The sequence below is a fragment of the Homo sapiens genome, chromosome 11, assembly GCF_000001405.40.
Source record: "Homo sapiens chromosome 11, GRCh38.p14 Primary Assembly".
NCBI classification, from domain to species: domain Eukaryota; kingdom Metazoa; phylum Chordata; class Mammalia; order Primates; family Hominidae; genus Homo; species Homo sapiens.
Genome location: NC_000011.10, coordinates 122,731,711 through 122,751,193, shown reverse-complemented (window position 1 = coordinate 122,751,193; position 19,483 = coordinate 122,731,711). Strand labels below are relative to the sequence as shown.

The 19,483-nt window shown below is 45.0% G+C and overlaps 1 protein-coding gene across 2 annotated transcripts in view, besides 3 other annotated features; it reads right to left on the bottom strand.

Moving 5' to 3' along the window:
• The window catches only part of UBASH3B (ubiquitin associated and SH3 domain containing B), a 158,752-nt gene that overhangs the window by 63,280 nt on the left and 75,989 nt on the right, over positions 1 to 19,483 (bottom strand). The window lies entirely within an intron of this gene.
• Positions 1,928 to 1,977: an enhancer, noted in NCBI's record as "active region_5669". NCBI's record gives its function as "activates an Ori minimal core promoter by ATAC-STARR-seq in GM12878 lymphoblastoid cells {active_cell/tissue: GM12878}" and the evidence as "EXISTENCE:reporter gene assay evidence [ECO:0000049][PMID:35858748]".
• Positions 5,750 to 6,717: an enhancer, noted in NCBI's record as "H3K4me1 hESC enhancer chr11:122615185-122616152 (GRCh37/hg19 assembly coordinates)". NCBI's record gives its function as "activates a minimal SCP1, AML or CMV promoter by ChIP-STARR-seq in primed H9 embryonic stem cells {active_cell/tissue: H9 hESC(primed)}" and the evidence as "EXISTENCE:reporter gene assay evidence [ECO:0000049][PMID:30033119]".
• Positions 7,417 to 7,516: an enhancer, noted in NCBI's record as "active region_5668". NCBI's record gives its function as "activates an Ori minimal core promoter by ATAC-STARR-seq in GM12878 lymphoblastoid cells {active_cell/tissue: GM12878}" and the evidence as "EXISTENCE:reporter gene assay evidence [ECO:0000049][PMID:35858748]".

Here is a 19,483-nt window from a genome sequence, read left to right as displayed (position 1 = left end):
TGCTGCCAGGTGTAACTTAAAAAGCTCTTTGTTGTTGGCCAAAGCACTGCAATAAATTATGCACTTTCCCAAAACATGAGAGGCCGGGAAGCGTAAACAACATGGCCCAAAACCCAGGCGCGTGGTACGGTTCTTTCCGCCTACCTGCAGGTACACATCCGTCTTGTCAGGCACTGAAATGCTGATGTTCGCTCAACTCTATCTCAATAATCCCACTGTCAGTGTTCAATGCACCTTTCTCAGGGAAAATGATAATAAAATGAGTTTCTGTATCCTTCTGTCAAGGATCTCAAGGCATGTTCACATGATTGCCTGTTTCTCCAGCCTTCCTAAGAGGCTGACAAGAGGGGCAAGCATTTGCGTCTTCCTGGTGGAGAAGGAGGGGACTCTATGTTCAAGTGACTTGTCCCCAGCTTCTCTATCTTGACAGAAGTAGAGCTTGGACTAGGATCTTAAAACGCAAGCAATCAGGATCGTCACTCTGAGCTTACTAGGTTAGCCTTCAATGCATTATGAAAAATGGACTCTAGAGATGCAAAACGGCTATTAACCACCATCAGGTGCAAGGCAGGCAGTATCTGGGTTCTTAACTTCTCCAGATTCATTTCATGAGGATCCTTTGGAAATAATTCTTTTTCCCTTTCTCTTCAGGATGGATGGAATTTGGTTCCTTACCTCATGGAGAGTAAAATAATCAGTCACTTGCCCTTAACACACATAATACTAGTGTGCCAGTAAGCTAAGGTGAAGTTGTTGTAGCTTTGGGGGTTTGGGTCAAAATCACAACAACATTCTGTGGGGGTAACTGAGGGTACATTGTAACTTTGAGTGTGTCCCTCCCGGTTCCACCCAGCCGATGTGTTCTTTAAACTTGTCCCTCCCAACCAGCCTGAGCAATATGCCGGAAGTAAAGAAGAAAGGTGGGGGGGCCCTGCAACTGAGCCCTATCTCAACAGTGGGAGGAGGCCAGTGGTGATGAGCCGTTCCCCTAGCCCAGGCAGCATCGGCCTGAGGAACAGGTGTTGCACTCAGAAACACTGAATATGGGGTCACAGGATCTGACTTTGAGCCTTGGCTCTGCTATTTATCAGCAGGATTTGAAGAAAATCTCTCTGGGCATTGGCATCTCATCTATAAAAGTGGTTTAAGAATGATTACCTTGGCCAGGAGCAGTGGCTCACACCTGTAATCCCAGCACTTTGGGAAGCCAAAGCCGGCATATCACTTGAGGCCAGGAGTTTGAGACCAGCCTGGCCAAGATGGCAAAAACCCATCTCTACTAAAAATATAAAAATTAGCCTGGTGTGGTGACGCATGCCTGTAATCCCAGCTATTTGGGAAGCTGAGGCACGAGAATAGCTTGCGCCCAGAAGGCGGAGGTTGCAGTGAGCCGAGAAAGCGCCACTGCATTGCAGCCTGGGGGACAGAGCGAGACTCTGTCTTAAAATAAAATAAATAAAATAAAATAAAATAGAATGATTACCTCTCAAATAGCGATTACTCTGTTAGAGTTAGAAGACAGTGTGGTGCAGTGGTCAGACCCATGGACTGATGCACAGTCCTGGATTTGAATTATGTTCCCTTGTTCACTAGCTGTGAGGCCCTTGGTCAATTCACTAAATAGAGCTAACCCTCAGCTTCTGACAATAGAGAATGGAACAATACAGAGAGGGTTGTTTGGAGGTTTTTACAGACTCAATGCGTGGTGCACAGTTGGCACCCAATAAGCCTTCTTTGTTAATATTACAGATGTAAGATGCAAAGCACAATGCAAATGCAAACAATTGTGATTATTTTCTAGGTTTAAGGCAAGTGTTGCCAATACATGAAGTGCTTTGCATATAGTAAATGCATAATAAGTCTGTGCTAATTATAGCATCCATAGAAGCAGTTTCGCTCTGGAATGCAGCTCAGAGATTAGTATCATTTGCAATAACTACATTCCAGGCTGCCAGCCCCACAAATTAGACACCAACTAAAGACATGCAGTACATGATTCAGCTGTATCTCAGGGGAGGGCTTCTGATGACAGCCAAAGCCACAAGGGATCCGATCTGAGTACTTTCGATGTGTCAGCAGAAGGCTCTTCCTCTCACAGTGATGATGCACATACTGCTATGTGTAGTATGGGGCACACAGTGTGCTGGGACCTCTCCAGGTCCAGGAGAACATAAAGCTGTCGTGGACTGTCTTGGCCATGAAAACATTCTCCATGTAGGCGTAGCCAAAGTTGAGGGTTCTGGCAGAGGTGATGTGTTCTTTAAAAAATAAAAATTAATTTAAAAAAAAGAAAGAAAAAACAAGGGCTCTCTTTCCTTCCGTGTACTCACTCTTTTGCTGACATCCAAGGGACTTGTTAAGTGGCAAATCAGTATTAAGCACAAGCGTGTGCAAGAGACCCAGGGACTGTGACACAGTTTGGGGTTGGTAGGCGCTTAGAGTTGGGTGGGCAGCAGGCCTTGCATTTAGCCTCACGTCACTGCGACCCTTGGATGGACACTCACAGAGCTCTTGTGTCTTGTTCTGGGTTCACAATCTTCTGTGGACGGGAGGAAATGGAGGTATTCAAAGAATCAAGGAGAAGATGAAAATGTCAAGAAATGCTTTGTAGTAATAAATTGCATAAACGTAAATTATTTAGCCCAACCTAAAGGAAGCTAAACTGAGATTAAATGACATTAACAACAGGCTGTTTTCCATTTCCACTGAGGGAAAAGCAAGTAAGGAAGAGAATTCTCCGAGTGCACAGGGAGCTGGGATGGCGCGTGCCCGTCTATAGGGGCAGCTGGGATGAAACCAGACTGGAGGTATGTTGATCGTTACTGAATCTGGATGAAGATACATGGGGGTTCATTACACTATCCTCTCTGCTTTTGTGAATGTTGATAATTTCCAAAAAGTTAAAACAATGAAAGAAAGATGGCAGCTGCTACTCAACTCCCACCTACAGCTGAAAGGCAGAATGACGGTCTGAAGTTGTCCACACCGATTTGTTTGGAATGATGGATTTTGTCAGTTTTAAACCACTATGTGAAGTCGCTCCACCTTTTCTTATTTGCCACAATGTGTTTCTTCCAACACAAGGGAGGTATTCTTGCTCTCCTTTTGCAGGATCCTCCTTTTGCAGGATTGGGGGACTGAGTGTGCAGACTTTTGTCCCAGTTAATGATTTCATAGCTGCTGCTACTTACAAGCTTATCATGTGTAACGTGGTGTATGTACTATGCTCTTTACCTGCATTGTATCATTTAACCCTCACAACAGTCAGCTCATTATTATCCCTGTTACACAAATGAGGGAACAGAGGCTTTGAAAGGTTAAATAGCTCACTCAAGGGAATATATGGATCTTAGGTCACAAAGGCAGGATTTGAAACCAGGCAGTTTGAGTTCCTCTCCATGCCTGTGCTATGAAGCTTACTTAAACTTTGGCATCCTCCCTTTGTACTTTCCAGATAGAACAGCTCTAATATTTTCATTGCGTCTCTATAAAGAAAGCTTTCAGAAGCTTAAAGACGTTCCCCAGCTTTGACTCTGTCTCCAAACGTACAGGAACCCAAACCACCCAACATCACTCCAGCTGCAGATGCTATTGTTTATAATATGTTATCCCGCTTCTTTCTCACAGCAGTCCCAACGGGGGCTCAGTCAAGTCTCATAACTCTCTAAGGACACAGAGCCATGGCCCAGCCCACACTCCCCAGGACTCTGGTGTATTTTTCTCCCCTCCTATCTGATGCTGCCTCTAGGTCCTAAGCTCAGCACTGTCCCCACAGGGTGCCTTACATGCACAGTGAGAGAATAACATTTCCCCAAACTCCTTGGCTGGTGTCATCAGGACAATTCCACTCCACTGGTTCTGGGTCTATTAACTCATTCTGTTCTCAGTGCATAAGCTCTTGCTAAGACGATTTTAGGGGTCCTATTGGCTGCTGGTTTCACTCTCCCTTTCATTCTCCAATTTATAGTCCACCCTCCACCAAGACTAGAATAATCTTTCTTAACCATTAATCTAGATCACATCACTGTCCTGCTTAAAATCCTGCAGAGGTTCCCCATATCCTTGGCCATGCCTGTGCTGGCCCCTGTCAGCCCAGCTGCCTCTCCGGTGACCACCCCCACCCCGCAGCCTCTGCTTCAGCCAGGAGCCTCGGCAGTTTCCAAAACACACCCTGGTGTTCTCTCTGTTGAACCTTTGCCCACTTTGCTTTTTCTGCTGGGATTGTCCACATTCCCCCTTTTCTGCCTAATGAATTTAAAGGATGACTTTAGGTCAAGATTTCACCATTCAGCGAAATCCTTTCTGAATCACAAATCCCCCCTCACGGCCCCTCCCACACTTTACCTATCCATCACTCCCAGTGGACTGTAAGCTCTTTGGAGATAAGACTCCATATCTGTTTAACTTGGTGCCTTCAAAACTGAGCACACGGTAAATGCCCTGAACTATTCATGAAATAAGTACAGAATGAATAAATCCTCCCGACTTCCCCACCACAGATAGCAGAGCAGCTCTCTTCGGAAGTCTCATAGCACTCTCTACCATTCTTCTATTAGCCCTTCCAGTCTTATCTCTAATTATTTCCTTCTATGTCTATTTTTCCCACTACATTGGAAGCATTCTTCTCCATTAGACTCTGAGATCTTCAAGGGTAGGAGGTAAAGGCCTGAGCACAAAGCCCAGCACATAGTAGGTGTTTAATTTATTGATTGAATGAAGTGACGCTTTCTTGTCAAACTTAATCACCCGGAGGCACCATCTTATACCTCAGATAACTTCCGCGTCAATACAGTGGTTTGAGTTTGTTCACGCTGAAGCAACCTTCCACTTGTCCGCCCACTCATATCTTAGGGGATCCTCCCCTCCTCTACCCTTTTGGCATGGAACCTCCCTACCGAAAGAGCTCTGTGTCACCCATAGACGTGTGAGTTTCAGTCTGAACTTCCTTTTTCAGGTTATTTATAAAAACGTAAAAGCTGCCCTACTCAATGCCAGCCACTGTTGAAACACTATCCTTTGCATGGTCCCTGGGCCTTAGCTCAGTCCTAGGTTGCCATCTTTGTAGTGTATATCTTTCATGACACAAGGGCGGGCACGGAGCCTTCATCTAATTATCCGTCTGCCCACCCACCCATCCGTTCATCCATCCCACACATGTTGAACATCTAAGAAGGACGAGGTCCCGTGCCAGGCTCTGGGAACTTCAGTGATAGACAAAACAAAGTCTCTGGCCTCAAGGAGCTCAGCTGAGACAGAAAACAAACACAGAGCAAATAATCGTAATGCTGTGATATACGTGCTCCCCCAGTCATTTAAAGCATGCAGGTGGGTCACCTATCGGGAGATGACCTCTGCCCCAGAAGGGACAGGATTTGAGCTGGGCCTTGATAGATAAGTGGGATTTTGCTACCCAGACAAGAGTGACGGAACAGCGGGTGCAATGGGGGAAGGGACCCAAGAAGTCACAAGGTGGTCACAGGAGTGAGAGAGGGCATGGCAGGGGAGATGAAGCTTATCCATTTATATTTTCTCACTAAGGGAAAATTTTTGTTTTCAAAGCCTGTGGGTCAATAATATCTTTGTAAAGGAAGAAAGGCATATTGATTATGGCCTTGCCTCTCCCAATAGCCAGAAAAAGCCGGAGTCTCTTCTACAAAGCTATGGAAAGAGCTGGAAACGGAATCCATTCTTTCATCCAAGATTTTCAGCACCTGTCACATGTACCTATGTATTCATGGGACTGTGATCATGCTCCCCAGTGCTGTACACTCCCTGAGATCAGAGACTTTGTTATGATCTGTGTTGCCACATGGTAAGCACCCCATAAATACTTGCTGAATGAATGCACTGACCCCTGCCAGCTACCAGGAACTGTGCTAAGTACTGGGAATAGGAAAATGGACTAGACGTGCTGCCTGCCCATCCAGCTAGGAAGGCTGACAGTCTAATCTGTTTGTTACGTGATCCAGTTTCTCAGGAATGCATTTTTGGAGTGGTAAGAAATTATTTGTTTTAAAGTTTGAGAGAAAAAAAAGATACAAGCTGAGAGGTGAGTCTTTCAGTGTGGATGGAAGGCCTCAGGCAGCTTCCAGGACGTGCTTGCAGATGCCAGTGTTACCCTGCTCCTTGCTTTTGCCACTCAGGCAGACGGGCTCCCTGGGAGGACCACCGCTCCTCAACACCCTCTCCCCAGACCCCAGACCAGGCTGGTCCCCTGCAAGGAAAGTCCTCTGCCTCAGCTGCCCTTCCCCGGGCTGTGCGGCACACTCACGTGCCCAAGTGCGCGCGCGCGCGCACACACACACACACACACACACACAGAGTCACACATGTGATCATACTCAACACACATTCTCCCCTGGCCACACACATATATAATCACACACGATCACACAGTCACACACATGATCACTCATATAGCACACATGTGATCACTCACACACTGACACAATCACACACAAAACACTCACATCAGGTCACACACAGTTGCACATGTGATCACACCCACAACACACACTCACAGTGACACACATTTGATCATACACTTGCGTTGTCACACACATGGTCACTCATACAACACATGCACACAAACACCCTCACACACAGTCACACACAGTCACACACCCACACAGGCACTCTTAGACATGATCACATGATCACAGTCACAACACGAGCTCATAGATAGGCACACATGCTCATGCAACACACACAGTAACACACACATGATCATATACTTATATAGGCACTCACACAGCCACACACCGATACACATGCTCAAATGCACACAACACGTGTCCATGTACTCACTCAACCACTCACAGTCACACGCTCACCCACATGCACAAACACATGCTCATACAGTCACACCTACACTATCACACTCAAATTCACATTTGCACATACACATTTATGTGCGCACACAGGCTCACACAGCACAAACTCACACAGAACCTCACACACCCAGACACACACACAGCCTGAGCCATTCAAGCGGCAGTACTCACATTTTCCATCTATTGGTGGTTTCAAAACAGGAAGCCTGCGTGGGAAGGGGAGGTGCTGGTGAAGTGAGAACCGCTGTAAAGGGGCCCAGGTGCATGGGCTGGATTCAAAAGGGACATCTCACTGACGCCTGGGTCTCCCTCACAGGCAGGAGAGCTGGGCTGCATGAGGCCCTGACTTGGCTCAGCTCCTGAGCAGCACCAGCTCTGGTGGGAAAGGTACTGAACGCCTGTCTGATGCAGCCACCCTGATCAAATCACACCTCTTCCTCGCCAGGGGTTTTCTGTGAGGAAGAAGGGAGCACCCTGCACCTTCCTGCCTGCCAATATGGGGCCCTCTCCTTTGGAAACTGCTTCTTCCAAGAGCCCTGCTAGACTTACTCGTGCCTGCCACGCCACCTTGCCCCTCAGGCCCTCTGCCGCTTACTCCATCACGCTCCTTTGCAATGGAAACATTCTGCTTTGTGCCGTACCCCAACCCCACTCCAAAGTGAAAGAGACCAGGGACCTGCTTTCGAATATTCACATCCTTGCAGCACTTTGTGTTCTACAGTTTTTTCATAATTAGCATCTCTTTCAATCCTCAAGACAGCTTCATGAGGCTAATAGTATACCCATTTTACAGATGAGGAAGCTGAAGGCAAGAGATTAAGTCAGCCAGGCATGGGACTTAATCAGTCAGCCAGGAATGGGTTCATTCCTGTAATCCCGAAACTCTGGAAGCCGAAGCAGGAGGGTCACTTGAGCCCAGAAGTTTGAGACTAGCTTGAGCAACATAGCGAGACCCCCAACTGTACAAGAAGTAAAAAAATTAGCTAGGCATGGTAGTGCATGCCTGTAGTCCCAGCTACTTGAGAGGCTGAGTGGGAGGATCACATGAGCCCTGGAGTTGGAGGTTGCAGTGAGCTGTGATCATGCCACTGCACTCCAGCCTGGGCAACATAGCAAGACCCTGCCTCAAAGAGAGAGAGAGAGAGAGATTAAGTCACTTGTTCCAGGGTCCCAGAAGTAGACTTTCTGATCCCAACTTTCCATTTTCAAGGCTGTCATAACTCCTATCTCCCACTCTGGCTCTTCAGGTACCTCAGAACGGCCACAGCAAAAACTGATGGCAACAAGGACGCTGAAAGGAGAGAAGACTAAAGAGAGGAGGAACAGAGAGCTGCCACAGGGAGGGGGCACCCAGGGCCAGGTGGGCCATGGAGGCACTCACTCTATCCCATTTCTCACACACCACACACACAAAAAACTCTAGCCGGCCAGGCTCAAGCTCAGGCGGTGTTCAGGAGGTGGGGTCACTCCATTTACATAATTGAATTGCTGGAGTGGCTTGGAACAGATTTCCACAACACACAGAGAAAAAGGTTAAGGGGAAGTCATAGTATGACATTTCTGGGGGTGAATGACATCTCCGGAACTTCAGTTTTTCCCTTTCTCTGAGAAAAGTGATTTAAAACATTTTCCCACAGTAGTGCCCTTGCAAAGGAAAATGGCCTCAATGCCAGGCAGCTGAGAGGGAACCCTTCGTGCTATATTCCTGACCAAGGGGGTTCTGGAGGGGAGAGTGGGGATGTCGGCAGGCCGCCCTCCCAAACTAGCCTAAGAGAAGGCCTAGTGATGTCACACGTGTGGCTGAAAGGAGACAAGAGTGGACCGCAAAACAAGCCCAGACTGGCTTTTTCCGCCAGGCTAGCACTTCTGTAGCAGACCATGGTCTCCTTTTCCTGGCCCTCTTCCTTTTAGGTTTTACATATTTAACAGCCGGGACCCATAAAATGGAGCATCAGAGGTCATAGGAAAAAGGATGGGTTAGACTCAGGGGAAGCCCTGGAATTTCCTTTCCTGGAGATCTTCAAGACTGAAACGAGAGACTCCTGTACTTAGGATGGTTTCTTGCACTTCTTGGCTCGGTTTGCTTCTCCTGTCTGCAATACTGTCCAAATCTCTTTTTCTCCAAGTCCCACCCTTTTCTAAAAAGGTTCTCCCGACCCTTCCAGGCTTGAATAATCCCTGAGGTCAGAGGTTAAGACCAAGGCAGTCTCGCTGACTGACAAGTGAGGAAGAATCTTCCTGGAGGAAGCGGATCCCTGAGAAGACCTTGGACTGTGTCCAACTCCAGATTTCGTTGCCGCTGTGCTAGTTTTGTGAGGAGGTAGGGAGGGGTCCTCAGGATTCTGCTCCACCATCAGACCAGAGAGGCTAAATCTCATCTCATGAGTAGTGAGAGTGAGCCAGTTTCCAGAAGAGATCTGGCAAAAGGAGAGGGGAGTCCTCCTAGCGGGGTTGGACTGCTTGGGGTTGAGTGAAATACTTAGGAATTGCTCAAGGCTGGTTTCCTTGGTCAGCAGAAGGGTCCAGGAAGCAGAACCCGTGGGAGGGAGGGGGGAAGAGCAAAGGAGGGTTGCTGACTCCAGAAGAGGCTCTGAAGCAGCCTGGCCACCCAAGTTCAGAAAGTTCACGTTTCTGGGGCCTGGCTGTCGTGAGGGCCTTATGGGAGGGAAGAGGAGCAGCTGGATGCCTTGCTGCTTACAGGTCTGTGCTCTCCCAAGCAAAGCATCACGGGGCCTCATAACGCAAATGTCTCGGCCTTCCCACCAGGAGACCCGCGAGGATTTCAGGCTTGGAGTATTCGATCACTCACGCAGTTCCTCTGGAGTGGGATGTTCACTGACCACTATGTGAACTGACTTAGATCTTAAAGAGACGGGCTTGAAAGGAAGCAAACACAACCTCCGGTTTTGCTCATTCACTGAGTTCTAACACGAACCCGAATGTTCATTTATTGGTAAACAGCCAATGCAAAGAGTGCTATTTTTGTTGATTTATGTCTTTGTGGGTTTGGGTTTGTTTCTGCTGTTTGAAACACTTCGGGGATACATCTCATTTAAGATCCAATTGAAAATTTTTAAAATTCATTATGAAGGAAAAGAGCCGAACATGAAAATATTCTATGAACTGAGAGTAAATTGAATATTTTATTCTGTGAAGATCTTATAAAATCTGAATCACATCACAGCTTTAGTCCTCAAACTAGCTGAGAGGTTAAGTTCTGAATTCCTCAATTTTTATATAAAAAATAAACTTTGTCATTTTTAAGGTGAAAAGAGCGAATAACCTGGAAATACTTTTACGTAATTGGGGCTTACCTTGAGGACAGAATTCATTTATATGTTAATATGCGCTTTGAAGTAAGAAGGAATCAAAATCCCTGCGAACGATTTGTTTTTAATTAGATTACTAACCTCAGTCCCCATTTTATGTACACATTATGTCCCACTAAAGCAGGACTTTTGCTAAAAAATGCTCTAAAGAGTGGGTTCTGTTTCACTTTAAAAGTAATATAGTGAATTTTTATAAAAAATGAACATGCAGAGATGTTTGTCTACAACAACCTCTATCTTGGTGTTCAGTATCTCAAAGCTGGCCTCAACTGACCTTTCTGCCTTCAGCTTGCCCCCTTGCCCCACACACATGTACACAGATGGCCTGCACACATCTGGTATGGCAGGGTCGCTTGCAAGTACAGACTCAGGAGTGTACAGGATGGTTTATATTCAAATTATAGCTTATCACTCTGTTATGGGCAAGTTATCCAACCTCTCTAAGCATCAGTGATATCCCATGTACAATGGGAATAATAATAGGACTGCCTCATATGGTTGCCGTGTGCATCAAGTGAAATAAAACAAGTACTTAGCACCATGCACACAACACATATTGTGCTTTCAGTAAACAGCTGCTGGCATCCTAATCCTGGGACAACACACGGTTCACCCTTTACAGAGCCAGCCATTCTCTTTCAAGTACATGCTCTTTCATCAGGAAACATGTCAGGAAAGCCCATCCCCTTTTCTTCACCTGGGAAGATTCAGTTCACAATTCAAGGTGCAGTTCAAATGCCAGATTTGCTGAAAGTTTCTTGTGACCTCCCAATTCCCACCTGCATGATAGCCAGTTAGTAGCTCCAAATTAACCTATTCACAGTCTACTTAAATTATGTCTTTAGATCTTGCTTTGCCACAAAATATGGGATCCTTCAGCGTGTAGAACTGAATATTATTCCTCTTTGCACTGCAGATGCCAGGCACCAAGCAGACACTCAATATTTATTAAATGAATATGACAAAATGGAATCAAATGGCATCTGCGAGGATGTCAGGACGTATGGAACATATGGCTTTACAGAAATACAATCCATATTACAGCTTTTCTAGAAACTAGTTATTTCTGGGTGGACATGAATGTAAGGAAATCAGCTATCATAGAAGACAGGATAAAAGGAGAACACTGAAGAAGAAATTAGGCAATGGCTTCAGGGCTGTGCCATCTGTCTGAAGGATGTGTTATCCATCTTGTAGGTAAATCCCATAAAGCTTAATGGGAAAGTGATACTTTTGAACCACTGCCCAGCCCCAAATGTAAAAACTCTTGCATCAAGACAATTTGGTACACAGCAAATGAGCTATGCCAATTTGTCAAATCAGAGAGTGAGCAGAGATGAAAATTTAGCCCTGCACTTGGAAGGAAACTTTTCAGAAGACTGTTTTTTCCTTCAGTATTGCAAAGTTAGGAAGAAAATTTATGTCTCCTGAAAATCAGAGGAGAGTAAGACATTCCAATACCCGACCATGGATACCCACCAACAGCATGGAGCTGTCAGGAGGAGGATAGAGCGTGAGAAGAATACTGTATGCCAAGCACTATAGTAGGTACTTGATAGAAAATGCAATGCCCAAAAGAACCTCAGAGAGAAATCTTATTATTCCCATTTTATTAGTGGAGAAATTGAGTCTTGATGAGGTTAAGTGACCTAGCCAAGGTTAAATGCTTACAAGTGATTTTTTTGCTCTCTATTAAAATTCCTCCCCCAGCCACACACTGTGGACAGCTCTTTTCTAAATCTTCCTCCTCTATAATCCATACTTCTCTCTATTGTTAGAATAATTTTTCTAAAACAGGTTGAGTTAAACTTTCCACTCCTCAGTCTGGGCATCGTAGTGAGACCCTGTCTCTACAAAAAATTTACAAATTACCCGGGTGTGGTGGCACATGCTGTAGTCTCAGCTACTCAGGAGGCTGAGGCAGGAGGATCCCTGAGCCCTGTAATTTGAGGCTGCAGTAAGCCGTGATCGTGCCACCACACTCCAGCCTGAGCAACAGAGTGGGACCTTGTCTCAAAAACAAAACAAAGCAGAACAAAACAAACCCTTCCACTCCTGTACAACTGTCCATGGCTCCCTTATATCCACACAAAGCAAAATTCAAATATTCAAATTCATAAACGTAACTTTTTTTTTTTTTTTTTGAGACAGAGTTTCACTCTTGTTGCCCAGGCTGGGGTGCAATGGTGTGATCTCGGCTCACCACAACCTCCTCCTCCTGAGTTCAAGCAATTCTTCTGCCTCAGCCTCCCAAGTAGCTGTGATTACAGGCATGCACCACCACGCCCAGCTAATTTTGTATTTTTGTAGAGACGGGGTTTCTCCATGTTGGTCAGGCTGGTCTCGAACTCCTGACTTCAGGTGATCTGCCCACCTCAGCCTCACAAAGTGCTAGGATTACAGGCGTGAGCCACTGTGCCTGGATGAATGTAACATTCTTTACAGGCTCAACTCCCACCGTAGCTCTTCCTGCCTCTTCCTGACCATTGCACTTGACCACATCTGTTGTCATGCTGTGTAACCCCATGGCTCAGGCTTCTTGCCATGCCTGTCCTTCTGTGTTGCTTTACTTTATTCCCACTGAAAGCCTGTCTTCTCCTCTGTCTTCTATCTCTTCCTCCCTGGAACTGCTTCTTTGCATTTAAACAGCCTCTCTCAAGTGCTCAATTGCACTTTCCCCTTCAGCTAAAAGTCACTCTAATTTGGCACTTCCCCACTAACAAAGTCCCTAATAGTTATTCATGCCATTGAATAATAATGGCTAAGATTTACTGCACATGTATTAAGACACCAATCTAAATACAATGCAATCGTTCCAACTTATGGATGAGGCTCAGTGTAAATAACTGGTCTAAGGTCACTTAGTAAGTAACAGTGAGAATCTGAGTCACCACACTCTATTCAATGGGATTTTTGTCTCTTGACCTCTCAACGGCATTTCCCATTAGGAGCCCTCCCTTTGTTCTCTACTTTTACTTTCCTGATTATGCCCCTTTGGTTTGTCTTTTGCCCTTTTCTCTAGTGGCTTATTCTCAGTTTCCTTTGTAAACTCTGACTTCTCTACAGGCACTTTAATTGCTAGTATTCCTCAGGAATCTGTCCAGTCTTTCTCCATACATTCTACTCATTCTCTCCGGGTAATCCCAGCTCTTCCCTGGGCCATACCTCCAGCTTCTACATGCTAAGGATGCCCTTAGTCTCCAGGTCCCTCCAGTTTCTCCTGCTCAACCCTCTGGCGTCCTGACCTATTCCTTACTAGAAATCTCCACTTGAATATCTTGCTTGCACTAAACCTCATGTGTTCAAAAAGTGAACTCACCTTTTTCCCCGCCAATTTTGCTTCTCTCCAGAGTCTCTTGGCTCAGGGCAGAGCATCCATGCAATTTCCCAAGTTTCATTCATGCAGAATGAAAAAAAAAAGGGCTAGGGGAACACAGAGAGAATGCTGGGAGAATTCAGGAGTTTATGTAGAAGGTGGGGCTTTAGCGACGCTCCTCATTCTTACTGAGCATCTACCTCACGGCCTGTACTACACTTAGCACTGAGATCAACAGGCTAAGATCCACCTAAGATCCATCCTTGACTTCTCTCTTTCTCTCACCTCTCCTATCTAATTCATCATTAGGTCCTGTCCATGTGTGCCTCCTAAATTTCTTGGACACTGGTTCTTTTTTATCCCTTGTTTTCTCTCTGTGTTAAGCCCCATCACCCCTCGCTTTGACAACTCCGGCAGCTTTAACAAATCTCCTGCTTCCGGTTTTGCCCTTTCCAATTTATTCTCCAAATATACAATGATAATCATACACTCTTCTTCTTAAAACAACCCAGTAGCTCCCTATTTCCTCTAGGGTAAAGTTCCAGAACCTTAACATGGCTAATTTGCCTGTATGCTCTATTTTCTGGCCCTTCCCTGGTTTACTTTAGGCTACCCTCTTCCGGCAACATTAGATTTCTTTCAGTTCCTTGAACGTGCCACATTTTCTCACAGCTGAGCAGTGGGCATGCATTCTTTCTTCAGGAACATTCTTTCCCTTCCCTACAGTAATATCTCTGCCCACCTCTCAATCTTAGCTTAAATCTTCTATGTTGCTTTCCTTGATCCTTTATTTCCTTTCATTTCTTCATTTCATTCCATTTCATTTCATTTTGAGAGAGGGTCTCACTATGTTGCCCAAGCTGGACTGAAACTCCTGGGCTCAAGCGATCCTCTCTCCTCAGCCTCCCAAGTAGCTGAGATTGCGGGTGTGAACCACCACGCCTGGCTTCCCGATCCTTAAATCTCCCAGTTACACATTCTCATGACACCCTGCATTTCTTTCCCAGCATGCATTCTGCTTGTAGTTAATTACTTATTTGATGTGTGTTTTCCTTCTCATCATGTGTGCGTGTTAGCCTGTTGATCTCAGTGCTAAGTGTAGTACAGGCCATGAGGTAGATGCTCAGTAAGAATGAAGAGCGTCGCTAAAGCCCCACCTTCTACATAAACTCCTGAATTCTCCCAGCATTCTCTCTGTGTTCCCCTAGCCCTTTTTTTTCCATTCTGCATGAATTAGTATTTAGAGTTTTATCTGTCTCTCTCCTCCATAAGCTTATGAACTTCTTGGAGAAAAAGGCCAGGTCTCCCTTCTGCATGCCTTAACTTCTAGCATGATGCCCATGCTGAGAACTTGTAGTTCTCAGAACTAAAAGCATCAGAATATAGAATGAGGTTGTGTCCGAAAAAACTCTAGGGATGAGTTACACAGTTCTGAGAAGAAATGAAAGAACACCGAGAAGCAGAGGGAGTTGGGCTTTAGCAGTAGATGTTTTTATCTGTGCACTTGGAGAACTGGCACAAAGCTGAAATAACAAGAAGTTAGGAAGCATTCTTGACTTCTCTATCTTTCTCTGCCAGGTACCAAAGCATCCTAAATGAGGCTGAACTGCACTGCCTTTCCCCTTTCTGAACCTCCACTGTCTTGGGCCAGAATATCTTTGTCTCTTACCTGGCAAGTCTGCTCTGGTTTCCTGTCTTCTCTCCCATTTTATACACCATCCACATTGCTATCAGTTATTCTAGAGCTCAGATGTAACCATATTACCTCTGCTTAAACCTTCAGGGACTCCCTGTTACCTACAGGTAAAATCCTTTTCAGATGGTGTCCAAGGTGCTCCATGATGGTGTCCAAATCTATGTCTCTAGGCTCAAGCCGCCACTTCGCTCTCATGCCCCCTACATCCCACAACTCTGAACTCTGCCTCCCTCATGACCTCATTTTCTTCTTTGCCTTTGCACATGCTGGGCCCTCTGCCTGGAACTCGGCTTCCCCACTTCGACAAGTAGATAGATGTCTTCTACATACTTTTCTATGTCCAGATCAAATATTTCTCTGTGAAATATGGTGGAATTAGTTGTTGCTACTAGGGACTCTCAGAACTCTCTGGGCATTTCCCACACTGTGTATTCCTTTACCGAACCCAAAGAGGACAGGGCAATGTCTTTTTCTTCTTTGAACCTCTCGCCTCTATCACATATTAGGTGCTCAACAAATGTTTAATAACTAAAGGAATGAGGTCTAGGTCTTTGTGAATTGGGCTGGTGGAACAGGACTTCCTGTTCATCTAGCATTGCATTTCTTTCCTTAACTAGAAGAGTGTGTATTTAGCCTGTCTTTGTGACAAGCTGTTCTGGTTAGGAAAGAGTTATATTACACTAGCTTTCTGTTACCCACATGTTCGGGACTGTAAATTTCATTGCCCATCTAGTGTAAGAACTGCAAATGAAGCAGTTTAGTGCACTAAAAATACTATTTTAAGTACATTCCAAGGGCAAATAAACAAACGAGAAATATATGCTATTGGGTATTATCCATGTGATTGTTCTAATGTCATTTTGCTTGGAATTTATGCAGTTCTTCTCTACTCAACCTCTTAAGTGCAAATAATTGAAGGTTGTCAAAACATTTGAAATAACTCTGACCCTCATGTGTACAATAATAATAAGGTGCAGAAAAAGTACTGGCCTCCAAAAAGGGGAAAAGTTCACTCCTGAATGGCTTAAGTAAAAATAAAATGAGTTTATATAAAGTTTGCTAGGAAACAGGAAGTTAGAAAAAACTGTGATAAGGAAAGCCATAAAGAGCAATGGTGACCTAGAAAAGACAGATCTGAAAATGCAGAGGGAAACGTTTTGACACAGATGCAGGATCATTTCTCTAAGGGTTTTTTCTTTTTCTTTTTCTTTTTTTTTTTTAAGATACAGCTTAAAAAGTGAGGATTAAACTCATCATAATTCTATAAGATTAAGCACATCTGATGAGGGGGGAAAATGATTATTCACTCTACTGGAATTGCCTTAATGAAACCGTCTTGATGAAAGCTGCATCTTAAAATACTCATCCAGTGATGAGGACTTATTTCAAGATGTAAACCAAGGCAGTCGTTGGAGTGAGGCTTGCTTGTGAAGCACACCACATCTTCAGGATGCTGAGCTAAGCCAGATTACAGTGTGCTCACCAAGTGTCCCTCCCAGATGGCTTTTCTGGACAGCCAGTTCCCACCCTAGTGGTATACTGGAAGCCACCAACAACTAGTAAATCTATGAACACCATTCAAGCAAAGACATGGGGTCAGAGCACAGTGGCTTCAGACCTTGAGCCTCTTCCTTTCTCCTTGGGAATCCCCGTCTGCTCAGGCCAAGTCCTTTCCTCAGGCTCAGCCATGTCAAGCTCTTTTCAATGTCTTCCTCTTCACTGTAGCTGTTGATAAGGCCCACAGTTGATCACCAGGCTATCAGCCCCTTTTCTGTGCTCATGAAAACCAAAAGCTTTTGAAGTACAAATCTTAAGGGAGGAGACATTCAATTTTGGCTGGGCGTGGTGGCTCAAGCCTGTAATCCCAGCACTTTGGAGGCTGAGGCAGGCAGATCACCTGAAGTCAGGAGTTCAAGACCAGCCTGGCCAAGATGGCAAAACCCCATCTTTACTTAAAACACAAAAAATTAATGAGGTGTGGTGGTGCACACTTGTAGTCTCAGCTACTAAAGAGGCTGAGGCATGAGAATTGCTTGGACACAGGAGGCGGAGGTTACAGTGAGCTGAGATCATGCCACTGCACTCCAGCCTGGGCGACAGAGTGAGACTCTGTCTCAAAAACAAAACAAAAAAAAAGAGAGGAGACATTAAATTTTGACTGCTCAAATCTGCTGTAAATTCTCTTGTGCATCATTCAAGATACAAGTCAACTGTCATCCTCTAAGATATTCTAGTTCTTCAATAAGACAAGACATTACTTCTTCTGAGTTCATGCAGTGCTATACATACCTCTATTATCATATACTCTTATCATTACAATAATAATCTGTTGACATATCCATGGGTGTCTGTAAAGCAAAAATTCCAGGGCTACTCAACACATGTGTGGAATGAATACATCAATGAAGGCAGCTGCGAATGGAGGATTATGGGAAGTAGATTGTCTGTCAACACCCATTAAGAAACAAAAGCTAAACATGTTGAATGGCAGGAATTACTGATGTGAAACTTGGATCTGGGCCATGCTTTGGCGCGAGGCACTTGAACCACATAAACAAGCAAACTGGATGGCTGGGATTTGTTTCTAGTGACTTATCGTTGACATACTTGTTGATGTTAAGACTCCTCTTTCCAAAGTCAATACCTTCATCCAATCACTGCCAGACATCTTTCCCTGAAGAATTTTTTAAACTGGACACCAGGGAACTCCAGAAATAATAGAGATTGAAGAAAGCACTTTGTATTCGTGATGATCTGAATTAAAATTTAATTGGGTTTGAGATGGAGTGAGTGGGAAGCTGCTAAGGTTAGTCTTCCACAGCAAAGGAGGGAAACATTCTCTGCTGTGTATGAAGCCAACACCCCACCTCTACACTCGACTCCCCATATCCAAAGACCTTTGGCATTTTCTGTTTAGCACAAAGGCTTCGAGTCTTTAAAGAGAGAAAAGCCAATTATATGACCAGTTGGGTGGGGAGACCCTTGCTCTGCTATCCCAAAAGGCCTTCAAAAGCTTTCTGCTTGATATTATGTAGGTATAGTGACGGGTACATCATAACAAGCCAGGAATTTTAATGATTCATTGAGAGAGATACTAACATTCCACTGGAGGGAAGGAAGGCAGGTAGGATTCTGCCACTATTTGAATAGGAGGAGCTATTGATTAGAATCTATTGTTTGGAATCCAGAACACTGCCTGTCCCTTTGAATGAGGATGGGAAATTCCAGGGAAAACCTTTTCTGATAAAGTTGTTGGTTTACACAAGTGTCCTTACTTTAAGGCTATTTTTAATTAGCTTGTTAGTTTATCTAATTGAGGGTTGTTGGGGGTGGAAAGATGGGTGGTGGAAAGACAAACCACGATTTCATCTCCATTATAAACACAGGAAATACGTGGGGCTACAATAGGACTTTACAAGTTGTATTTTACAAGTTGCAGGAAATACCATGGAAGAACACAAGCCTTCCTTAAGGCAAGATGAAGTCCAGCCCAGAGCAAAATTCCTGTGTCTCCATTAGGAAACAGAGACTTACAACGTGCAGGGCCTGGGCAAGAGTATAAAGAGAGGCCCACATACACCAATGTCTAAATGTTTACAAATAATAAATCAAGCGAACCAACTCATAAATATGCCTTAGCCTCCAACCTTGGCCAATATACCTTCATAACAACCTGGTTAGAGGCTCAGACTTCTTGCCATTGTGTGTCAGGGTATGGCAACCTGGGAAGAGCCAGCAGCCAGCCGGCCTTGGTCTGTTCTCCTGTGGTCTGCTTCCATCTGCTTTTAGCTCAGACCCTGGCTTCTGTGGGGGTACCAGGAGGGTCCTCACATGTATGCATATGGGTACCCCAAGAAGATGTCAAAGTTGTGTCCACACCCCCACAAACAGAAGCTCCTTTGTCATCCTCAGGGCTAGGGCTGTCTGTCTTTGGGAGACTAGAGATGGGGGAGACACCCCGGAAGCAGGTTCCTCATCATTTGTGTTCCTAATATCCAGAGCATGGTGTGTGTGTGTGTGTGTCGTCGGGGTGGGAGACACATAGGCTCCAGGGTATGCACATCTCCTTCAAACTAAGAACTCTTCACTCTGTACTAAAGAACGTGGCCATGGGAAGACCAGAATGCAGTGCTCTAGGCTAGGACATGTCTGGGTACAAAAACCTCAGTAGTGAGTGTGACAAGAGAGCAAACATTTAAACAAACTAGTAGAGCAGTCCTGCCTTATCTGTGGTTTCACTTTCCAAGGGTTCAGTTACCAGTGGTCAACTGTGGTCCAAAAATATTAAGTGAAAAATTGCAGAAATAAA